Source organism: Homo sapiens, chromosome 7 (assembly GCF_000001405.40).
Source record: "Homo sapiens chromosome 7, GRCh38.p14 Primary Assembly".
In the NCBI taxonomy this organism is placed as follows: Eukaryota; Metazoa; Chordata; class Mammalia; order Primates; family Hominidae; genus Homo; species Homo sapiens.
Window position 1 is genome coordinate 149,319,123 of NC_000007.14, and position 20,537 is coordinate 149,339,659.

The window sequence follows — 20,537 nt, forward strand, 5'->3', positions numbered from 1 at the left end:
ACCAGAGAGAGAATGGGGCACCACCCAGGCAAGCAGTGTGAGCAAGAAGCTGTGGAGAGTGCAGTGCGCTTGCATCCCAGTCTCAACAGCAGCTCATAGCAGTGTGGCAAGTACCCTCCTGGATGCATGGAAGTGCCCATTCTCCCTCCTCCCTCCTTGGAACAGTGCACCAGCTGCAGCCATGTCTATAGATCCCAGGAATCTGAGACAGCAGGTCATTGCTGGGGAAAAGCCATACAACTGTGTTGACTAGACTCACCTGAGACCGCTACTTGGCACTTAACATTTCCAGGCAAGCCTGTTAGTTTATGTAATACTCTTGCCTTATCACCTCCTGAGACGGCTATTTTGCCTCTTCTATTCTCTTCTCAAATCCTCAACATGCCCTTCTCATCTTCTATTGTAGTTGAATATGCAACAGTTGTCAGAATCAAAATGGAATCACTTGCGTTAAAAAACCCTTACAAATAGAGTTGGGGAAGGGCACGAGGGAGGGTTCTCCGCACCAGTGCCTGATAAGAAGGACTATCACAGAAGACTGCAAAACCCACAGGTTCCACAAAGGTAATTGCAACCTTACACACACAAAATATACTTTTGTGAGAACGTCTGTCCAGAAACTGCTAATCTTGGACTGGCACCCTCTTATTGTTGATCCTTAGTGCCAAGGATAATTGTCTGAAAGCAATTATATAATTCGCCTTACTTTTTTTCATTAAAAACCTTTGTCTTTACCTCCGTGAATACACACATAGTTACTATGGCACACATATCCCCATTGCAATGCTCTGTTTCCAATAAGCAGAATTTTTAGAGTGTCCCTCTGTATTTCTTAGTTTGACAAAATGGTGTCTCGAGTGGGACTGAAGTGAGCTCAGCTTGAATGGGTTGGTGGCTCCGGAATCAAGTGTGGTACCACCTGAGCTCTTTGCACTCTGCTTCTGTCAGTTACCTTTTCTGCCCTGGTGAATCTCGAGTTTTTGGACTCCCTGTCTTTGGTGAGTTCTTTTTTATTTTATTCATGTTCTGATTTGGTTATAAGGCCACCTCAATAAAGAACTTTGCATCTGTCCTGGGATGACAGAAGACTTTGTTTTTCTGGCAAACCATTTCTGGTATAAGAACAATGTCCTTCTGGTTTCAGTACTCTGGTTTCTACAGAATTTATCTTCTGTCTGGTTCTCCATGCCTGGTTTAATATTTTGTTTGGTCTGTGCATTAGTCTGTTCTTGCATTGCTATAAAGAAATACCTGCGACTGGATAATTTATAAAGAAAAGAGGTTTGATTGGCTCACAGTTCTTCAAGCTGTACAGGAAGCATGATGCTAGCACTGCTTGGCTTCTGGGGAGGCCTCAGGGAACTTTCAACAATGGCCGAAGGTGAAGGGGAAGGAGGCACTTCTGTGGCTGGAGCAGGAGCAAGCGGGGCGGGGGAGGTGCTACACATTTTTTTTTTCCAGTTTCCAAATGGTTATTTTATCAGATTGTTTGAACATTTAATTTATCCTGTTTGCAATCCAAAGTAGTTATCTGAAGTTTGCTGTTTTGTGTGTATGTGTGTGTTTACTTTTATTGTATATTTTTCTAAACTCTTTGGCGTAATTTTCTGGGGGCGTTCAGACTGCCAAAATACAAGTCAGGAGAGGGCGTTTTCTTTGTGCTGCCAATTCTGATCATTTAAATTTTGGTTTGGTTTGTGACTTTTTTGTTTTTGAAGTCTGCGCTATTTGTAACAATTGTACTTACATTTTTCTATATTCTCTAACGCCAGAGTTTTCTTTTTCTCCCCCCTCCCCCTCACTTCTACATTCACAGTTGAACCATAGTATTAGGAAAGGCGCCTTACTGAAAAGATCAGGATAGGAGCTCTGACCATTCGTCAGTGTTTCCCTAGAGTAAAAAAAAAAAAAAAACAAAACAAAACGAAAAAAACAAAACCTAAAGAGCGTCTTTCCTCTGTGTTTTTTTTTTTTTGTTTTTTTTTACATCTCTTGTGCTGCACCAGTAGACAGAACTTGGGTTCGTTTTATGAAATGCAACATCTAACCCCTTGTTTTCTGGGAAAAAGAAACTGTAATGACTTGAACTTGAGAATGTGGATACCGCCTCACTCACACACACTCATTCTCAGACTGTAAAAAATCCCTCACCCTCCTTCTAGCCGGCAAGCATACAGTACCGTGTGGCAAAGGTACAGAGAAGGTGGGCTTGAGACCCAGGCTCCATCTTTCTCCTCAGTAGCAAAGGCCAGGCTGCCTTTTACAACAAAGCACCACAGCTGAACCCAGTCCCTCCTCCTCCCCGAAACCAGGCATTCCACTCGGCACCGGCCAAAAGACAGAAAAACTACTTCTAGCCTCTCCTGGGAAGAGATAGCTTTTCTTTTTTCTTTTCTTTTCTCTTTTCTTTCGCTCTTTCTCTCTTTCTTTCTTTCTTTTTCTTTCTTTCTTCTTTTTTTATAAGTAACTCCATTGTTTTTCTCTTTTCCAAGATAGCCAATGTTATGGTTTTCTACGAAGTCAGTGCTTACTTAGCTCACTGACAGTGCTGCTGTTGGCGGCGGCGGCTGCGGCTGCTGCTGTGGCAGGATTTTCAATGTGGTGTGTTTTCAAGCCTCACTCACTCATCCTCTCATTCCCAAACATTCAGCATCCATGCACACTCCTCACTTCCAGGTTTTTCAAAAGATTGGAGATTTCCAGTGGGGGTCCTCAGGTTATCATCCCAGTGGTAACAGATCAAGCTTGGTCCTTCAGTTTCTTGAATTCTTTTGTTGCCCGTGTAGCAAGGGTTTTTGCTTTGTTCGTCTTCGATCTCCGCCGTTCAGTTAACAATTCATGGATCAGTGGCCTAGCTTCTACTAGTTTCAGTACATCCTTCCCAAATGCTGTATATAAGTCCCCTATTAGTCCAGCAGCACAAGCTACTACTCCGTCTGTATGATCCTCATCTCCAGCAATGTGGTCAATGCAAAGTTCTCAAGAGAACTCACTCACTCACTATCATGAGGACAGCACCGAGGGGATGGTGCTGAACCATTCATGAGAAACCGCCCCCATGATCCAGTCGCCTCCCACTAGGCCCCTCTCCAACACTGGGGATTACAATTTGACATGAGATTTGAGTGGGGACACAGATCCAAACCGTATCTGTCTGCATACTTGGCTTAAAATTTTTATGAACACTCTTACTTTTGGTTTCATTTTGGTCAGGTCACATGTATCTGTAAGTGATTTGGCTCTTTTCTCCCTTGTTTCTGAACATGTTCTGAGAGGAAAAAAAAAAAAACATTCTAAATGGTGGGCATAAGATGACCAATTAAAAGCTACTAGGTGGTCACTGCTATCTGTCATGCCAGTTCAAATTACTCACATTCTTTGACAGGATTTCTAGGATTTTTTTTTTGCCCTTGAGAGATAAACAAGAAGTGGAACGCGATTATCAAATTCTAAAGGCATACCACTAAAACCTTCCTTTGGGATTCCAGTCAGCTGTATCATAGTTGATTCTCATGTACATTTTAAAACTGATGGGCAAATTACACCAAGAAAAATGTAGAGCACAAATGGTCATTATTCACAGGCTCTAAGAAAACTGCAGCCAACTATAGGGTTAACATGTAGATTCTTCCAAGTTCTCTGTCTACTTTTTTCTGCTTATTTTGACTCTGATGACTTTTCTCCTGGCATTAGGATGAATTCACTGGTTATGGCATTCCAGCCTCTCTCTCTCTCTATTTAAATATATATATTATGTATATTTGATAAATATATTTAACATAATATATATTAAATATATATACAATATTAAATATATATAATATATATATTAAATATATATACAATATTATATATTATATATATTAAATATATATACTTAAATAAAGATAGGGTCTCACTCTGTCACCTAGGCTAGAGTACAATGGCATGATCATAGCTCACTGCAGCCTCCAACTCCTGGGATCAAGTGATCTTCTTGCCTCAGCCTCTTGAGTAGCTAGGACCACATTTGAGTACAATCACACCCAGCTAATTTTGTTATTTTTTTGTAGAGACAGGGGCCTCACTATGTTACCCAGGATGGTCTTGGACTCCTGACCTCAAGCCCTCCTCCTGCCTCAGCCTCCCACAGCTGGGATTATAGGCATGAGCCACCATGTCCTGCCCCTAGCCAAGATTATTTAAAAAGGAGTCTTAAAGGGCTTTCAAATCAATAGCTTTACAAATTACAATAGCTCCATGACAACTAACAACCTAGACACCTTTTGGAAATGAAAATTCAGGTTTGCCCAACTAACAACTACTCAAGGTGATGGAAAAATTAAAGGATTGACATTCTAAAAGAAAAGAACTAAATAAATATTTATAAAAGTTAGGCTACCAGATCAAACAAGTCAAAACCTTGAGCTCAGAGTAATAATATAAGGAAGGTATCTCCACCCAGCATAAAAATTGCTTTACCGGCCAGGCACGGTGGCTCACGCCTGTAATCCCAGCACTTTGGGAGGCCGAGGTGGGCGGATCACGAGGTCAGGAGATCAAGACCATCCTGGCTAACACGGTGAAACCCGTCTCTACTAAAAATACAAAAAAAAGTTATCCAGGCGTGGTGGCGGGCGCCTGTAGTCCCAGCTGCTCAGGAGGCTGAGGCAGGAGAATGGTGTGAACCCGGGAGGCAGAGCTTGCAGTGAGCCAAGATAGTGCCACTGCAGTCCGGCCTGGGCAAAAGAGCAAGACTCTGTCTCAAAAAAAAAAAAAAAAATTGCTTTACCACATAGGGGCAAAGCAATTAAATGAGCACTCACAGAAAATATATAATAATTAACCCAAATACCTTTTAGTTTATGTGACTTACATAAATCTTTGATAAATAAGCTAGTTTTAATTTGTTGATAAAAATAGAAAGGCCTTTAAAATGGTCAGCATATACTTTTGCCTGGGTTTGCTGGCCAGATAAGATTATTTTATTTTATTATTATTTTTTGAGACAGTGTCTTATTCTGTCATCCAGGCTGGAGTGCAGTGGCATGATCCTTGGCTCATGGCAACCTCTGCTTCCCAGGTTCAAACGGTTCTCCTGCCTCAGCGTCCTGAGTAGCTGGGATTACAAGTGTCTGCCACCATACCCAGCTAATTTTTGTATTTTTAGTAGAGACAGGGTTTTGTCATGTTGGCCAGGCTGGTCTCGAGCTCCTGACCTCAGGTGATCCACCTGCCTCAGCCTCCCAAAGTGCTGGAATTACAGGCATGAGCCACTGTGCCTGGCCTGGCCAAATGGGATTATATTTGCCTCTGCTAAATGGTTTAAGGTCATAAAACTAGAAGCCCTGCCCCCAAACAGACTAATCTTTTTTTTTGTAACTCTTTGATAAATAAGACTAATTTAACATTGTTGATTTAGTAAAAACAGTTGTATCTTCTGAGGTATTGGCAAAATATCCACATATGTAAAGTTACTTGTTACTCAGGTGAATACCTGATATTCACAGGCTACAGAAAAGGGCTAACAGGGAAATGACTTAAAATGATGACTAGTTTTGTCTACTATTTTAGTTTTCGTAAGTAATCTGGGTATAATTGTTTAAAATAAATCAATATAAATGGGATTCACATTTATAAACTTTTCATGCAATTTGAAATCTTAACATTATTAAATTAAGTGATACTAAATGTCTGGGTTATTTTTAAGTAAGACAAAATACTAAAACATACATTGCTAAACATAAATATAAGTTTATTCTCGGCATCTTAAATTTTATAGGAAGACTAAATAAATTTAGATCTACTAATACAAAATAAAAATTGTGTTATGGGGAAACATACTTCTAAAAATTATAACATGGTTCTCCATCTATAAAATACTAATATGTGACAGGCAGCTCAAAATTTTTTGCTTCCTAGGTTTTCACTAGAATTTAAGGTTACTAAGAGTTAAAAATTCTAATTAATATATATGATTCTGTCTACAAAGTACACAAAAATCATTTGATGAGAAAAATTAGGCTTTAAAAATGTGTTCTTTATTGAGAAAAAAACAGTAATTTTGTCTAATTCAGAGATTATTTAAAGGCTGTTTCAAAATATGTGTTTAGGAATGAAATAGAAGCAATATAGAAAGTAACCAGTAAGTAGGAGAGAGAGATGAAGAAACTAATAGGTATGGAACTGTAATTTTGGTAAGGAAGGTTAAAAAGAAAAGAGAATAATTTTATATGAGAAATAATCTTGTGTGGTATATTTTTGTCCCAAAGTAAAACGACTACTTATTTGGGAAAGAGGAAGTATAGGACAAAGCAGAAGGTCTAAGCATGTCATGGAAGGTCTGTGCAAGTCGTGAAAGGTTTGTGAAGGATGCATTTATGAAATAACTTTTTTGTGTGTGATCAAGTAGGCTATAATTAGAAGGGAATTATTAAAATTATTTCTAAACATTGAGGTTTTATGTTAAAAATTACTAATACAAAACTAAAAATGTGATCCCTTATGTTAGAACAAGGTTTTCTTGAAGTAAAATTACAAGAAGTTTTGATTTTAATTATGAAATGTTTAACAGCTGTATTCTAAACTGCAGCCTCTTCCTGTTTTATGGTTTCTATTTATGTCACATTTCGTCCTGAGATTTATTTAATTTCCCTAGTTTCAGTTGAAAATGCTGTCTTCATCATTTAGAATGGTAATTTTATTTCTTGAGGTAGAGTTTTCCTCTACCTCAAGGTTCATATCTCAGAAATTCAACTTCCCAGGTTCATATCTCAGAAGTTCAACTGTGGCTGTGTCTCCCTGCAGGTGATTTGCAAGTAATATATTCATTTTTTTGCCTGGCTGGGGTGATAATTTTAACTTTTTCATCAGCTCAGTTCTCTAGTTCTAACTCTGCTGGTATGGCCTGACACTGAAATACTTATCTTGAAGGTCTAGAAGAGAAATGTTTTTGTTTAATATAACTTGATTTCTTGATGTTTCTGAATTGTTCCATATAACCAGGAACTTCCTATGCTTTTTTTTTTTTTTTTTTTGAGATGGAGTCTCACTCTGTCACCCAGGCTAGAGTGCAGTGGCGCGATCTCGGCTCACAGCAAGCTCTGCCTCCCAGCTTCATGCCATTTTCCTGCCTCAGCCTCCCAAGTAGCTGGGACTACAGGTGCCCGCCACCGTGCCCATCTAATTTTCTGTATTTTTTAGTAGAGACGGGGTTTCACTGTGTTAGCCAGGATGGTCTCGATCTCCTGACCTCGTGATCCACCTGCCTCGGCCTCCCAAAGTGCTGGGATTATAGGCATGAGCCACCGCACCCGGCCGAACTTCCCATGCTTTTACCAAGAGCCATGCATTCTGCTGCTCAAGATACTAGTTTTTTGTTTACATTCCTCTATAATGTGTTTTACACTCATAACCTTGGACACACAATCTTATTAAGTTTAAAGAGCTTTTTCATCAGGTTCAACTTCCATGTTATATAAGTGAGCTTCCTGTAAGAATAAGCAATCACATTTCAGGATGTTTGTCTTATCTTTTTGGTAACTGTTCTAAGAAACAGTCTTTATTAGGTTTTTGATTACTTAGGAAAACTGAGCTTTGAAAGCTTTAAGTCTACAAAAAATCCATGTAACTTTCTGTATTGCTCTTGAAATTTTTGACTATCACTATGGTTAAATGAATGACTATTATTTCACAGTGACCTGTAATCCTGTTTTAATCAGGTGTTTAAAAAGTTTTGGCATCTTTGACAGGCTTTCCCAATGTAAAAATTCTAAATTAAGTCTTTTTGATCTTGAATTTGCTTTGTGATTTTTCCAGTTGAGCCCCAGGAGAGCATCAAAAGATGTATCTCTCATTTTTATAGAGATAGTAAATGATTAGGCTTGTTTGGTAAATTATACAGGATGCTTTGTCAGATGATAAGTGATGCTAGATTTTTTCAGTCACATTTGTGATACGTTATTTTAATTTTTATTTTCTTGAGATGGAGTCTAACTCTGTTGCCCAGGCTGGAGTGCAATGGTGTGATCTCAGCTCACTGCAACCTCTGCCTCCTGGGTTCAAGGGATTCTCCTGCCTCAGCCTCCTGAGTAGCTGGGATTACAGGTGTGTGCCACCACACTTGGCTGATTTTTGTATTTTTTGTAGAGACAGGGTTTCACTGTGTTGGACAGGCTGGTCTCGAACTCCTGACCTCAGGTGATTCACCCACCTCAGTCTCCCAAAGTGCTGGGATTACAGGTGTGAGCCACCACACCCAGCCACATTTCTGATATGTTATTGACCTAAATGTTCCAAAATTGTATTAAACTCTTAAAAATATAATGTCATTAGACATAATTTGGGTTATGTTGTATGCCACAAAAATAACCAAATTTCTGTGTCAATTGCTGATGATAATGAACTTACATCAGATTTTTAAACATGATTATTTTAAGTTTTTGTCATCCACAGTTATTGTTTTGATTTTTCTCTAAAAGCATTTGGAATCAGATTCATGGAGGAGACTCTAACAAGTACACTTAAATATGGGCTTCTAATAATTTTAAGATCAATTAACTAAATAAAAATCTTTAGGCCAGGCACAGTGGCTCACGCCACTGTGGCCAATCTTTTCCCTCCAAAATGGGACCAGAGCAGCAGTTTGGGACAGGTTCATCTCAGCACCAAGGAACATAATCCTAACTACAGAATGATTTGATCAGCAATGCTTTTAGAGAAAGACCTTGATCAAACGGGGGAAAGGTGGAAGTTGTCAGAATCAAAATGGAGTTAATTGTATTAAAAACTCTGACAAGCCAGGTGCGATGGCTTATGCCTGTAATGCCAGCACTTTGGTAGGCTGAGGCAGGCGATCATGAGGTCAGAAGATCAAGACCATCCTGGCTAAGACAGTGAAACCCCATCTTTACTAAAAATACAAAAAAATTACCCATGTGTGGTAGCACGTGCCTGTAGTCCCAGCTACTCAGGAGGCCAAGGCAGGAAAATCTCTTGAACCCAGGAGGCAGAGGTTGCAGTGAGCTGAGATCACACTATTGCACTCCAGCCTAGGTGACAGAGTGAGACTCCATCTCCAAACAACAACAACAACAACCAAAACAAAAAACAAAAAACAAAAAAAACTCTGACAATTAGAGCTGGAGGAGGCTGTAAAAAGGAAGGGAGGGTTATTTTTTAAAAAAATTTTTTGAGACTTTGTCTCACTCTGCTGCCCAGTCTGGAATGCAGTGGTACAATCTTGGCTCACTGCAACCTGTGCCTCCCAGGCTCAAGCAATCCTCCTGTCTTAGTTTCCCAAGTAGCTGGAACTACAGGCACATGCCACCACATCCAGTTAATTTTTAAAATTTTTTGTGGAGACAAGGTCTCTCTATATTGCACAGCCCAGTCTCGAGCTCCTGGGCTTAAGTGATCTTCTTGCCTTGTCCTTCCAAAGTGCTGGGATTACAGGTGTGAACCACCATACCCAGCGAAAGGGAGAGTTCTTATGCATGAATGCCTGATAACAAGAACCATCACAAAAGACTGCAAAATCCGTAACTTTGCACAAAGGCCGTTGCAAACTTACACACACAAAAATGCTTCTGTAGGGACATCTGTTCAGTTGCTGCCTGTCCAGCCTTGCACTGGTGCTGCCCTTGTTATTTATCCTTGTAGCCAAGAATTAAAACAATTATGTAATCCTCGCTTTTCGTTTAATAACCTTTGTCTTCCTTTACCTCCCTGAATATGCAGATAGTTTACTATGGCACACATCATTTTCTTTTAGAGAGTCTCACTTTCTGTTGCTTAAGTTGACAAATATCTTGAATAATCAGAAAATAAAGGCAGTAAGATGAGAATCACTTCCATCTTTCTTCTATCAATTCCAACCAAACAGTTTCCGTCTGTCTGCACATAATCTGCCTTTCCCTCTGTTGTAAGGAGGGGTTCCCATTCTTACCCAAGGCCAACCTATTACTTGTGAATTAAATTCCACCCCTTGCTCCCTTAAGGACCACATCATGATGATGTCTTTACTCTCCTGCATCATTTGTTCCCTCTCTACGGTATTATTGTAAGCATATAAACATGCTTTACTATCATTCATCTTGTAAAAGTTTCTCTTGATTCCATGACCCTCCAGTTCCTGTTCAATTTTTCTGCTATTGTTTTCCTGAAAAACCACTCAAATTAATCAACTGTTCTCATCGACCTCACATCCTTGCTCCCATTCCAATCCAGCTTTCATTTCACCTGATCCATGGAAACAGCCTTCATTGAGCTTATTGATGGCCTATATTTGTTAATATTTTGCCAGTGCCAGGGGGCAATTCTCTCTCTCTGTTTACTTGGCCTCTCATGCTTTTGCAATCCTGCATATGCAGTTCCAACAGGCTTGGACTCTCCTCTTTGAATGGTAAAGGTCCTCTAACTCCGGGGCCCAAGTGTGATGATGTGCAGATATTATCTGGCAGGACTCAAGTAAATTGTTCCAGTTCCTGCCTTACCTCTCAGCACACATCTGGCCACTGCTGAACAGAGACATGACAGAGCATCAACAGCAAGACCCTTTGACGAATTCACTGTTCATCGCAATGCTCCTCCAAATAGTAAAGAATTGGAAATAACCTAAATGTCCAAACTCAATGGAATAGTGAGTCAAAATGTATCAAGGTACAAGGCCTTTAATAAAGGTGACCTTTCCTTGTCTTCCCAGCCTGGGGGCTGATGTTAGCTCCTTCCCTGCTCCTGTCCCATAGAGCCTGAGGCACACCCTTGGCTACTTCATGCCTTTAGGCCCATTTCCTGGCAGAGTTACTCCAATAAGTCTCCACTCAGTGTTATAGAGGGTGGGAAGAGATGACATAGTAGAGAGAGAGGGCTGGAGGTTCAGGTGTGGGGAGGAGTCAGCCAGTGGCCTCACTGCGAGGGCAAAGGTGCCTGTGCAAGGCTGTTGAGGGAGAGGTTCCATCTAGGCAGGGTTTGGGGCCCAGGACACTCAGTTAAGGGTCCAGTTTTAGCTCCTTCAGCAGAGCTGGCTGGCTGAAAGTATCATGATCTTGGGCCAACAGAGGGAGTCTACGGTCAATTCTGGCATGTTGAAGTGGCCTTGAGAAAACAAAAAAACATGGTAAATATGAAATTACTTCAGAGTGACTGGCAAACTTGGTACAAGCAGCCCATGGGTGTTGCGGACCCTCCACAGTATTTCTGGACAAATTCACTACTTACCCAAAGTCCTTGTGAGCTTCGTGGACTTTATTGGAGACTGTCTATGGGAGAGAAGATGGATGAGGTGAGGCATTGGGAAGGGTTGATAGGTGAGTTAAAGCCTTTTTTGGCTTGTCTACCAGTGGTGGTGGGGTCTCTTTTGGCTCTGCCCCCCATGCAGGACCCAGCTGTTCAGATGGGAGTAAGCTCCCGCCCCTACTGCCTCCCTATTCTTGCTGCCCATGCAGAGCCACCCGCCCTCTGAAACGAATCTTGAAACCCAGCCTCCATACCCTGCGTGGCTCACAGCTATTGACCACAGTGTTTCCCCAGCCCCCCGATCAATTTTCTTCTTAAGGGAATCTGAAGCTGTTCACCTTATTTCTTCTCAATATTTAGCATATTGTTGGGGATCAACCCCACAATCTGACTCATGCAGTAGAAAGTGGGACAATAGGTCATCTTGTGTCTCAGGGTGTGAGGCTGTGGCCAGGTCTCGTTTCAGACCTGCTAGTCTTTCTATGCAGAGACTTTTCTGCTCCTCAGCACCCTAGTACAGGAAGGCAGGAGGGGAACTAGGCTTCTGTTAAGCTGGGACAGCCAGTGACTGCCCACTGCAGGGCAGATGGAACAGGGGTGGCAGAGGTAAAGATATGCCTGGCACATGAAATATGGTCAGGTGTTCACAGGTAGACCAGGGAGTGAGTGATGGCAGTGAGGGCCAGGCTATCATGGGCAGGCTCCCCACACCCCTCAGGAACATGGCTGAGTCCAGAAACAGCCATCAGCTGCACAGTTGTAAAGGTGAAATTAAGATGTAGAACAAGGCCTGGGGGTATAGCTCAGGGGTAGAGCATTTGACTGCAGATCAAGAGGTCCCTGGTTCAAATCCAGGTGCCCCCTACTCCTTTTAATCACTGAAGTAGTGCTGGGATTTCTGCCCCTTCTCCCCACATGTGACCATTAGTGTGCTTTATTTCATGATAAAATTTAGTGTCTGGATCAGGACAAGGTCTAAGAATCCTCCCCTGATCATCACCCAGATAATATAATAACTACTAGGGTCACATTTGATTGAAGAGGCTGACCAAGTTAGCCCAGACAAGCCCCACCTCTGGGTCTCTTGCCCTTCATGGTCTATATGTGGACTTCACTCTTTCTCGGTATCTCATTTCCTCAGCCTCACCGTAATCTCCAGAAAGAAGGCACAGACTATCTCTTTGATCTTGCTACTACTGTGAAGTATGAAGGAAATATATGCAGCTTCCTACTTCCCAGAGGCAACTATAATGATTTGAAAGCAATGTCAAATTTGTCTCTTTTCTCTGTCTGTGAATTTCTTGAGGGTGCTGCCTCTACCACAGATTCTGGCCATCTGATTCTCCCTTCTTCTCTCCTAACACTTCTTATTTCTTACCCTGGGTCAGTATTTCCTTGATGAGAATACCTAGAAGTAGACCCTACTTTATGTTATATTTAAAAATTCAGATAAAATATTTAAGACATATAAATGGCTGTAACAAATCTTCAGAGGATTCTCTACTTTCCTTGATGAACAAAGAAATCTGAAATAATCTTTTATATGAGGACAAATAAAAATTCAGAAAATATGAAAAACATCTCATTAAAAGTATCAAAGAGCTAACACAGGAAATACCAGATGTAGATTTGGAAATGATGGGAAGCAGAAGTTTAAATCTCCTTACTAAAAGCTGCTTTGGCCCTGAGTGTATTTTTCAGTTCAGAAGAGGCAGCTGAGAAGCTGAGTGGAGCTTTTGGGAACCTCTCAAAACTAAGGAGATAGAAGTCAGAATTCTGGGCCCAACTACAGTACAGACGTTGATGAGACCAACTCTGACTTTGGACTAGGAACTCAAGGGGTAAGAGTAAATGGAAAGAAATTCAGCCACTGTAAGAATTTGTGGCTAGGCTTTTTAACGTTTGAATGGCTCAGGAAAACTCAAACCTTGAAATTATATTAAGGTGTCCTGATTGCTCAGATACTTGGAAAAAGCAAATAAAGGAAGATATTATTATCCCTGGCCTTAGATTAGTTCTACAAATACAATTTTAAGTAAAATTTTAGCATACAGTCAAAGATAACCAAATACACAGGGAAGCAAAAAGCTATAAATGAGAATAAACAGAAATAACAGACCACAGAACTAAACAAAGGGACTTCGGATATTAGAACTACCAGAAACATTATAAAATAACAATGTTACTGTGTTGAGGGAGATAACAGCCAACCTTGAAAATTTCTTTTTTTTTTTTTTTAGTATTTATTGATCATTCTTGGGTGTTTCTGGCAGAGGGGGATTTGGCAGGGTCATAGGACAATAGTGGAGGGAAGGTCAGCAGATAAACATGTGAACAAAGGTCTCTGGTTTTCCTAGGCAGAGGGCCCTGCCGCCTTCCGCAGTGTTTGTGTCCCTGGGTACTTGAGATTAGGGAGTGGTGATGACTCTTAACGAGCATGCTGCCTTCAAGCATCTGTTTAACAAAGCACATCTTGTACCGACCTTAATCCATTTAACCCTTAGTGGACACAGCACATGTTTCAGAGAGCACGGGGTTGGGGGTAAGGTTATAGATTAACAGCATCCCAAGGCAGAAGAATTTTTCTTAGTACAGAACAAAATGGAGTCTCCTATGTCTACTTCTTTCTACACGGACACAGTAACAATCTGATCTGTCTTTCTTTTCCCCACATTTCCCCCTTTTCTATTCGACAAAACCACCATTGTCATCATGGCCCTTTCGCAATGAGCTGTTGGGTACACCTCCCAGACGGGGTGGCGGCCGGGCAGAGGGGCTCCTCACTTCCCAGATGGGGTGGCCGGGCAGAGGCGTCCCCCACCTCCCGGACGGGGCGGCTGGCCAGGCGGGGGCTGAAAATTTCAAAAGGAAATTTAAAAGCATGAAAAGTAACTTAGGAGATTTGAAAAGAAGACAAAATATAAATTTTATGTCTAAAAATATAATTAACTAAAATTAAAAAACTCAACGAATAGGTCTATGCTCTTCTTAATAAATAGATTAAGCCAGTGAGAAAAATCAGTGAACTAAAACATTGGGAGGAAAAACTATCCATCATAAAACATGGAAAGACAAAAGTATGGCAAACACAGAAGATAAGGTAATTAATATAGAAGAACAGAAAGAAAAAAGACTAAAGAAAAGTGAACAGAGCCTAAGGGACCCATGGGACACCACAAGTGGACCAACATATGCATTGTGAGACTCCCAGAAGAGGAAGGGAGAGAAAATGGGACAGAGAGAATATTTGAAGAAATAATAGTTGAAAACTATTGATGAAAGTTTTGATGAACTTTCATTGATGGAAGACATGAATATAAAAATCTAAGAAGCTCAGCTGGGCACAGTGGCTCATGCCTGTAATCCCAGTACTTTGGAAGGCTGAGGTGGGTGGATCACTTGAGGTCAGGAGTTTGAGACCAGCCTGGTCAACTTGGTGCAATCCCATCTCTACTGGGAAAAAAAAAAAAAAAAAAAAGGCAGGCGTGGTGGCACATGCCTGTAATCCCAGCTACTCAGGAGGCTGAGGCATGAGAATTGCTTGAACCCAAGAGGCAGAGGTTAAAGTGAGCTGAGATTACCCTGCTGTCATTCTCTCCTGTGCGGCTGTTCTCTTGCGCAGTGGTCGTTTATCTCCATCCACCTTCTCTCCTACCTAAGTGCGTGCCACCACCTGATGGAAGATTCGTGGACATGGGGATGAGGCCCCTGAGGCCCCAGAACTATCTTTTCAGTTGTGAACTAAAGGCCAACAAAGATTATCACTTTAAGGTAGATAATAATGAAAATGAGCACCAGTTACCTTTAACAACAATCAATTTAGGGGCTGGTGCAATGGATGAATTGGACATTGTTGAAGCAGAGGCAATGAATTACGAAGGCAGTCCAATTAAAGTAATACTGGCAACTTTGAAAATGTCTGTACAGCCAACGGTTTCCCTTGGGGGCTTTGAAATAACACCACCAGTGGTCTTACAGTTGAAGTGTGGTTCAGGGCCAGTGCATACTAGTGGACAGCATTTAGTAGCTGTGGAGGAAGAAGCAGAGTCAGAAGATGAAGACAAGGAGGTTGTGAAACTCTTAAGTATATCTGGAAAGCAGTCTGCCCCTGGCGGTGGTAGCAAGCTTCCACAGAAAAAAGTAAAACTTGCTGCTGATGAAGATGATGATGGTGATGATTTTGATGATAAGGAAACTGAAGAAAAACACCAGTGAAGAAATCTATATGAGATACTCCAAGCCAAAAATGCACAAAAGTCAAATCAGAATGGAAAAGACTCAAAACCACCATCAACATCAAGATCAAATGGACAAGAATCCTTCAAAAAACAGCAAAAAACTCCTGAAACACCAGAAGGACCTAGTTCTGTAGAAGACATTAAAGCAAAAATGCAAGCAAGTATAGAAAAAGGTGGTTCTATTCCCACAGTGGAAGCCAAGTTCATCAGTTATGTGAAGAATTGCTTCCAGATGACTGACCAGGAGGCTATTCAAGATCTCTGGCAGTAGAGGAAGTCTCTTTAAGAAAATAGTTTAAACAATTTATTAAAAAATTTTCATCTCATTTCTGTAACAGTTGATATCTGGCTGTCTTTTTTATAATGCAGAGTGAGAAATTTCCCTACCGTGTTTGATAACTGTTGTCTAGGTTCCATTGCCAAGAACGTGTTGTCCAAAATGCCTGTTTAGTTTTTAAAGATGGAACTCTGCCCTTTGTTTGGTTTTAGGTATGTATGGAATGTTATAATAGGACATAGTAATAGCGGTGGTTAGATATGGAAATGGTAGGGAGACAAAAATATGCATGTGAAATAAAGCTCAGTAATTTAATAAAAAAAAAAAGTGAGCTGAGCTCATGCCACTGCACTGCAGCCTGAGTGACAGAATGAAACCCTGTCTCAAAAAAAGAAGAAAAAAACAACTAAGAAGCTCAATGCATTCCAAGTAAGATGACCTAAAGAGACCCACACTGAGGAAAAAGGACACCCTATTCAAAAAATGGTGTGAAAAAATCGGCAAGCCACATGTAGAAGAATGAAACTGAATCCTCATCTCTCACCTTATACAAAAATCAACTCAAGATGAATCAAAGACTTAAATCTAAGACCTGAAACTGTAAAAATTCCAGAAGATAACATTGGAAAACCCTTCTAGACATTGGCTTAGGCAAATACTTCATGATCAAGAACCCAAATGCAAACACAACAAAAACAAAGATAAATAGATGGGACTTCATTAAACTAAAAAGCTTCTGCCCAGCAAAAGAAATAATCGGCAGAGTAAACAGGCAACTCACAGAGTGGGAGAAAATATTCATAATCTATACATCTGACAAAGGACTAATGTCCAGAATATACAAGGAACTCAAATCATCAAGAAAAAAACAAACAATCCCATAAGGAAGTGGGCTAAGGACATAAATAAACAATTCTCAAAAGAAGATATACAAATGACCAACAAACGTGATGAAATGCTCAACATCACGAGTTATCAGGGAAATGCAAATCAAAACCACAATGTGATACCACCTTACTCCTGCAAGAATGGACATAATAAAAATAAAATAAAATAGCTGTTGGCATGGATGTGGTGAAAAGGAGCTCTTTTAAACTGTTGGTGGGATTGTAAACTAGCACAACCACTGTAGAAAACAGTATAGAGATTCCTTAAAGAACTGAAAGTAGACCTACCATTTGATCCAGCAATCTCACTCCTGAATATCTGCCCAGAGGGAAAGAAGTCATTATATGAAAAAGATACTTGCACACGCATATTTATAGCAGCACAATTTGCAATTGCAAAAATACACAACCAGCCCAAATGGCCATCAATCAACGAGTGGATAAAGAAAATGTGATATATAGATAGATAGATAGATAGATAGATAGATAGATAGATAGATACACACACACACACACACACACACACACACACACCCCATGGAATACTACTCAGTCATAAAAAGGAACAAAATCATGGCATTCACAGCAACCGGGATGGAATTGAAGACCATTATTCTAAGTGGAGCAACTCAGAAATGGAAAACCAAACCATTCTATGTTTCCACTCATAAGTGGGAGCTAAGCTATGAGGACACAAAGGTATAAGAATGATACAATGGACTTTGGGGACTTGGGGGATAGGTGGCGGGGGCAAGGGATGAAAGACTACACATTGGGTATAGTGTACATTGCTTGGGTGTTGGGGGCACCAAAATCTCAGAAATCACCACTAAAGAACTTACTCATGTAACCACATACCACCTGTTCCCCCCCAAACCTATTGAAATTAAAAAAACCAAAGAGATCCACACTGAGACACATTATAATCAAACTTTCGATATCCAAAGACAAAGAGAACCTTTAAGCAACAAGAGAGAAGCAACTTATCACATAGAAGCGATCCTTAATAAGGTTATCAGTGGACTTCTCATCAGAAACTTTGGAGGCTGGAAGGCAGTGGGTTGATATATTCAAAGTGCTAAAAGGGAAAAAAACCCTTCAACCAAGAATCCTGTATTCAGCCAAACTGTCCTTTAAAAGTGAGAGAGAAATTGAGAAATTTCCAGAAAAATAATAGCTGAGGAGTTTGTTACCATTAGAATGGCCCTGCAAGAAATGCTCAAGCGGGGCCTTGCAGGATGGAATAAAAGAACATTAGACAGTAACATGAAGCCATATGAAAAAATAAAGATCTCAGTAAAGGTAAATACATGGGCAATTGTTAAAGTTAGTGTTACTGCAACAATAGTTGTAACTCCACTTTTTTTTTTTTTTACATAATGTAAGAGACTAATGCACTTAAAAGAATTATTAGTTCTTGTTTTTGGGCATATGATATATAAAGATGTGATTTTGTGACTTCAACAACTGAAAGGGGTAGTGATGGAGCTGTTAACAAACCAGAGTTTTTGTATGTTACTGAAGTTAAGTTGGCATGAATTCAAATCGGGGTGTTGTATTGTTATAATATTAAATGTAATCCCCATGATAACCACAAAGAAAATAGCTATAGAATATGTATGTATTAAAAAACCCATATATATATATATATATATACACATATATATATCTAAGAAGCTCAATGAATTCCAAGTAGGAGAAACTAAAGAGACCCACACTGAGATGCGTTATAATCAACTTTCAACATCCCAAGACAAAGAATCTTGAAAGTGACACACACACACACACATATATATATATATGAAAGAAATTTAAACATTTCACTACAAAAAGGAAAACAGTAACGCAGAAATGAGGGATAAAACTGCTAAGACGCATACAGAAGATGAATAGCAAAATGACAGAAGTAGTTTTCTCTTTATCAGTAATTACTTTAAATGTAAATGGATTAAACTTTAATCAAAAGGCAGAGTGGACACAAAAACATGATCCAACTATATGCTGTCTATAAAGGATTCACTTTAGACCTAAAGACACAAATAGATTGAAAGTGAAAAGATGCAAAAAGATATTCCATACAAATAGTAATCAAAAGAGAGAGGGGGTGGCAAAACTAATACCAGAAAAAATAGACCTTAAATCAAAAAAGATTACAACACAAAAAGGACATTATATATTAATAAAAAGCTTAGACCGGGTGTGGTGGTTCATGCCTGTAATTCCAACACTTTAGGGGGCCAAGGTAGGAGGATTGCTTGATGTCAGGAAGTTGAGACCTGTCTGAGCAACATAGTGACAATCTGTACAAAAAGTAAAAAATTAGTGGGGCATGATGGCATCTGCCTATAGTCCTAGCTACTTGGGAAGCTGAGGTGAGAGGACTGCTTGAGCCCAGGAGTTTGAGGCTGCAGTGAGCTATAATTGCACTACTATACTCCAGCCTGGGCAACAGAGTGAGACCCCAATCTCTCTTTAAAAAAAGTTCAGTACAACAAGAATATGTAGCAATTATAAACATTTATGTACCTAATAACACATGGAGCAAGAACCAAAACAACACAATTGAAGGGAGAAGTAGAAAGTACTCAAATAATAAAGACTTCAGCACTCCACTCACAATAATAAATAGAACAATCAGACTGACAATAAGTAAGGAAATAGAAGACTTAAACAAAATAAACTAATTATATGTAGTAGATATATATAGAACACTACCCAACAACAGCAGCAGACACATTTTTCTCAAGTGCACATGGAACATTTTCCAGGATAGATCATATTTTAGGCCACATATTAAGTTGCAATAGATTTAAAAAGATATCATACAAAATATATTCTTGAACCATAACAGGATGAATATAAATAACAGAAGTAAAACTGGAAAATTCACAAAATTGTGGAAATTAAACAACACATTCTTAAACAATCAATTGAAGAACAAATCAGAAAGAAAATCAGAAATACTTAGAGACAGTGAAAGTGAAAACATAACATACCAAAACTTATGGAACACAGTGAAAGCAATGATAAGGGAAAAATTTATAGCTATAAACACTTACATTAAAAAACATGAAAAATTTCAAATTAATAACCTAGCTTTACAACTTAAGGAACTAGAAATTGAAGAACATGTTTTATTTTTTATTATACTTTAAGTTCTAGGGTACATGTGCACAATGTGCAGGTTTGTTACATATGTATACATGAGCCATGTTGGTATGCTGCATCCATTAACTCATCATTTATATTAGGTATATCTCCTAATGCTATCCCTCCCCCCTCCCCTCACCCCACGACAGGCCCCAGTGTGTTATGTTCCCCATCCTGTGTCCAAGTGTTCTCATTGTTCAATTCCCACCTATGAGTGAGAACATGCAGCGTTTGGTTTTCTGTCCTTGAAATAGTTTGCTTAGAATGATGGTTTCCAGTTTCAAGTCCCTACAAAGAACATGAACTCATCCTTTTTTATGGCTGCATAGTATTCCATGGTGTATATGTGCCCCATTTTCTTAATCCAGTCTATCATTAATGGACATTTGGGTTGGTTCCAAGTCTTTGCTATTGTGAATAGTGTCGCAATAAACATGTGTGCATGTGTCTTTATAGCAGCATGATTTGTAATCCTTTGGGTATATACCCAGTAATGGGATGGCTGGGTCAAATGGTATTTCTTTTTTTTTTTTTTATTATACTTTAAGTTCTAGGGTACATGTGCACAAGGTGCAGGTTTGTTACATATGTATACATGTGCCATATTGTTGTGCTGCACCCATTAACACGTCATTTACATTAGGTATATCTCCTAATGCTATCCCTCCCCCCAGTCCCCACCCCATGACAGACCCCGGTGTGTGGTGTTCCCCACCCTCTGTCCAAGTGTTCTTGTTCAGTTCCCACCTATGAGTGAGAACATGCGGTGTT

The 20,537-nt window shown here is 39.8% G+C and overlaps 1 non-coding gene and 1 pseudogene across 1 annotated transcript, besides 3 other annotated features; both read left to right on the forward strand.

The window, feature by feature from the left end:
* Window positions 2,519–2,736: a silencer, noted in NCBI's record as "fragment chr7:149018732-149018949 (GRCh37/hg19 assembly coordinates)". NCBI's record gives its function as "represses an EF-1alpha promoter that drives an FKBP-Casp9 reporter gene in an ReSE screen in phorbol 12-myristate 13-acetate-treated (for megakaryocytic differentiation) K562 erythroleukemia cells {active_cell/tissue: K562(+PMA)}" and the evidence as "EXISTENCE:reporter gene assay evidence [ECO:0000049][PMID:32094911]".
* Window positions 3,086–3,265: an enhancer, noted in NCBI's record as "active region_26813". NCBI's record gives its function as "activates an Ori minimal core promoter by ATAC-STARR-seq in GM12878 lymphoblastoid cells {active_cell/tissue: GM12878}" and the evidence as "EXISTENCE:reporter gene assay evidence [ECO:0000049][PMID:35858748]".
* Window positions 11,856–12,150: an enhancer, noted in NCBI's record as "tiled region #1294; HepG2 Activating non-DNase unmatched - State 7:EnhWF, and K562 Activating non-DNase unmatched - State 9:DNaseU". NCBI's record gives its function as "activates a minimal TATA promoter and a strong SV40 promoter by Sharpr-MPRA in HepG2 and K562 cells {active_cell/tissue: HepG2 | K562}" and the evidence as "EXISTENCE:reporter gene assay evidence [ECO:0000049][PMID:27701403]".
* On the forward strand, window positions 12,007–12,078 carry TRC-GCA9-2 (tRNA-Cys (anticodon GCA) 9-2). The gene has a single exon. It is a non-coding gene; the product is annotated as a tRNA-Cys (tRNA).
* Window positions 14,875–16,048, forward strand: NPM1P12 (nucleophosmin 1 pseudogene 12; annotated as a pseudogene).